Here is a 4,034-nt window from a genome sequence, read left to right on the forward strand (position 1 = left end):
CCTTGCCATATATTAGTAATTCATCCAATTTTTGGCTGAGTAATATTCCATTGTATAGATATACCACATTTTGTTTATTCTTTTATCAGTTGATGAACATTTGAATTGTTTTTATTGTTTTGCTGTTATGAATAACGCTGCTATTAACATTCATGCAAAGGTTTTATATGGACATATGTTTTCAATTTTCTTGATCTGATAACCAGAACTAAGTTTAACATTTCAAGGGACTGCCAAAGTATTTTAAAATGTGATTGCGCCATTTTATAATTCTATCAATAATGTATGCAGGTTCCAATTACTCCATATCTTCACCAATACTAGTGGTTATCTGTCTTCTTAATTTTAGCCATCCTAGTAGGTATACATTGGTATCTCAATGTGATTTTGATTTGCATCTCTTGTATGACTAATGATATTGACCATCATTTCACTTGATTTTCTGTCTAGTTGTTTTTGCCATTACTGAAAGTGACATTTAAAAATAAAAGTCTCCAGCAATTATTGTAGAGTGATCTTTTTTCTTCCTCCTATTCTGTCAGGTTTTCCTTCATGTATTTTGAGGCTCTCTTCTTAGGTGCATAGATGTTTGTAATTGCTATTTTTTTCAAGTGAATTGACACTTTTAAATGTCCTTTCTTATCTCAAGTAACTTTTTGTCATAAATTTTATTTTGTCTGATATTGGTAAGCCACTCCACATCTTTGCATGGTATAACTTTTTTCCATCCTTTTACATTCAACCTATTCGTATCTTTAAAGTGTATCTCTTATAGACAGTATTTAGTTAGACAATGTGTTTTTATTGCTTCTACTAATCTTTGACTTCTGATTGCACTGTTTAAATTTCATTTACATTTAATATAATTGCTAATAAGCTAGGATTGGCACTTATCATTTTTCTGTGTTTTCTGTTTTACCTTTTTTATTTCATTTCTCTATTATTGCCTTCTTTTATGCTAAATAGGTGTTTTCTAGTGTACAAGTTTAACTTTTATGTCACTTCTTTTACTGTATTTTTGAGTTATTTTCCTAGTGGTTGCCCTGAGGATTATCACTAACATCTTAATTTATAACAACCTAGTTCAGATTAATACCAACTTAATTTCAAATAACATATATATAACTAAAATATATAAAATATAATTTCAAATGTAAAATCTTTATGACTATATAGCTTCAATTTCCCTCCTTCTTTGTGCTATTATTATACATATTCAATCTGTGTTCATTATGAGCTCATCAACAGAACTTTATTGCTTTTTGTAATAGTCTTTTTTTTTAAATTAGGTTGGAGAAAAAGATTATAAACAAAAATACATTTATATTGTCTTTTATATGTACCATATGTACTTTGACCAGTGTTCTTTGTTTCTTCATGTGAATTTGAGCTACTGCCTTATATCCTTTCATTTTAGCCTAAAAGATTTCCCTTAGTATTTCTTATAGGTCAGGTCTGCAAGGGAGTAATTCCTTTAGTTTTTGTTTATCTGGAAGATGTTAATTTTTTTTTTTTTTTTTTTTTTGAGACAGAGTCTCGCTCTGTCACCCAGGCTGGAATGCAGTGGTATGATCTTGGCTCACTGCAACCTCTGCCTCCCGGGTTCAAATGATTTTTCCTGCCTCAGTCTCCTGAGTAGCTGGGACTACAGGTGTGTGCCACCACACCCAGCTAATTTTTTATATTTTTAATAGAGATGGTGTTTCACCATGTTAGCCAGGATGGTCTCGATCTCCTGACCTCATGATCTGCCTGCCTAGGCCTCCCAAAGTGCTGGGATTAATTACAGGCATGAGCTACCACGCCTAGTCAAATTTTTTTTTATAGTTTTTTAACTTCTAAATTTGCTGGATAGTTTTGCTGCCCACCACTCTTTTTTCTTTTAGCATCCTAGATATATCATTCTACTGCCTCCTGGTTTTTACAATTTCTCATGAGAAATTCTCCGTCATCATTGAGAGTCCCTTGTATGCGATAAGCCACTTCTCTCTTGCTGCTTTCAGGAGTCCCTGTTTGTCTCTGTCTTTTGGCAGTTTGATTACAATGTGTCTTAGTGAAGAGTCTTTGAATTATCCTACTTAGAGTTTGTTGAGCTCCTTGGATGTGTAGATTGTTTTTTTCATCAAATTTTGGAAATTTTCCAGTTCTAATCACTGTTGAGCCCTTCCAATGGCTCTACTTTTCTTTCACTTATCGTATTACTATTTTACTCAGAATTGCTGTTTTTAAAATAATTTCTACTTTTTAAATGATATTCTCTATTTGATAAGACACTATCTTATACTTTCCTTTAGCTATTTAGCAATGGTTTTCTTTAGTTCTTTGAACATATTTAAATAGTTACTTTAAATTATTTTTCTACTTAGTCCAATGTTTAAGCTTCCTCAGGGGAATTTTCTATTGACTGTTTTTTCTGTTTATGGGCCATGCTTTCCTCTTCCTTATATGCTTCAGATTTTTTTTTTTTTTGAAAATTGGACATTATAAATAGTAATGTTGTAGAACTTTCTCCTTAGTTCAGCTAAAAACGGGTTCCTTGTCACATGACCAGGCTCATAGACACATAAAAGGGTGAGAAAAATGGAACTTATTGGGCAGAAAGGAAAAAAAAAGTCAGCAAAGTGAGAGAGGGTCCTGTTACCAGGTCCCCATCTCACAGATTGAATCCCATGTTACCATCGAGAAACAGGAGGGGCTAGGCTTCTCCACCCTGCAAATGGTGCAAACTTGCTGAGACTCCACCCCAGTCTGCACTCCTCCCAGAGCACAGGCTGGTTGGAGGGTCTCCGGGGACCCCTTTATATTTGGCTATCTCAGTAATAACATACCAGCTCTGGAAATTCAGCCAAGTCATCCAGGATTTTTGTATTGATACAGTTTGTTGTTGCTGCAATTATTGTTTTTTATGCTGCTGTTGCTGATGTTTGTTTGCTAAATGACATTATTGAACTAATTACTTAAAGTCTATAACCTTTATTGTATGTGGCCACTGAAGTCTCTTTCATAGCTTAATGATCTGCTGTGATTGAATAGAAAGATTCTTAAATGACTTAAACCAGTAAGTCTCCCAATCTTTACTGAAGAGCTCTTCGTGTTTGTGTTGAGGCAACTTCAGTGTTCCAGCAGATAGTTTATACATCTTCCTTAGTCTTCACTTCCTATTTATACAAAGCCTCAACATCAACCAGATGTAAGAGAATAGGGGCTTTCCTGGACATGTGCACAAGCCTACACCTGTATGTTTCCTTCTAAGTTCTCAGAAACGTGTTCTAGTTTCTCAAAGCCTCCTATGGGCATCTCATTCCCCAGCCTTTTCTTTTATGTTTTTTGATCTGCTTCCTGTTTGTCCCAACTATTATTGCCACCTTCTGCAGCTTACATGTTAAACAATTGACATTGATTTTATTGATAAAATGCTCCTGAGGAAAAGCTGTCTGATTGAGTAAGCCCTGAAGCAATGCAAATAAAGACAAATTCTGCAAGTGGTGGTTTCCAGGGAACTCCCCTACATGTCAAATAATGAAAATTATCTGGGAATGAAAACTTTGGGTAGCCCAGACTCATTCTGTCCTTTCCCATGACTATTAGGTTGCTGTTTTTCATGACTATAGTGATTGCAAGGCTGTTGGTTTTTAAGATTACCATGATACTGAGGAGAGAGCTAATGGACTAGGGAAGATTAAAACCACAAAACTTAGGAAAACCAATGTCAACAAGATAGAAGAATAGGAGGCCCTCGGCCCCCTTTCCCCCTGAAAACACTGACTTAACAATAATAAGTATATTGTTGTCAGTAGACCAAATTGCCTTTGTGAGAAAACAAGAAACCAGGTAAGAGGTTGTGGCAGTCCAGGCTAGCACTAAGCCAATAGAACTGCATTAAAACAGGTAAAAAGGATTCCCAGGCAAGATGGCCAAACAGGAAGAGCTCTGGTCTGCAGCTCCCAGCAAGACCAATGCAAAAGGCGGGTGATTTCTGCATTTCCAACCTAGGTACCCGGTTCATCTCATTGGGACTGGTTAGACAGTGGGTG

General features: G+C 35.5%; 2 annotated features.

The window, feature by feature from the left end:
* Positions 3,385 to 3,434: an enhancer, noted in NCBI's record as "active region_16609". NCBI's record gives its function as "activates an Ori minimal core promoter by ATAC-STARR-seq in GM12878 lymphoblastoid cells {active_cell/tissue: GM12878}" and the evidence as "EXISTENCE:reporter gene assay evidence [ECO:0000049][PMID:35858748]".
* Positions 3,465 to 3,524: an enhancer, noted in NCBI's record as "active region_16610". NCBI's record gives its function as "activates an Ori minimal core promoter by ATAC-STARR-seq in GM12878 lymphoblastoid cells {active_cell/tissue: GM12878}" and the evidence as "EXISTENCE:reporter gene assay evidence [ECO:0000049][PMID:35858748]".

The sequence above is a fragment of the Homo sapiens genome, chromosome 2, assembly GCF_000001405.40.
Source record: "Homo sapiens chromosome 2, GRCh38.p14 Primary Assembly".
Taxonomy (NCBI): domain Eukaryota; kingdom Metazoa; phylum Chordata; class Mammalia; order Primates; family Hominidae; genus Homo; species Homo sapiens.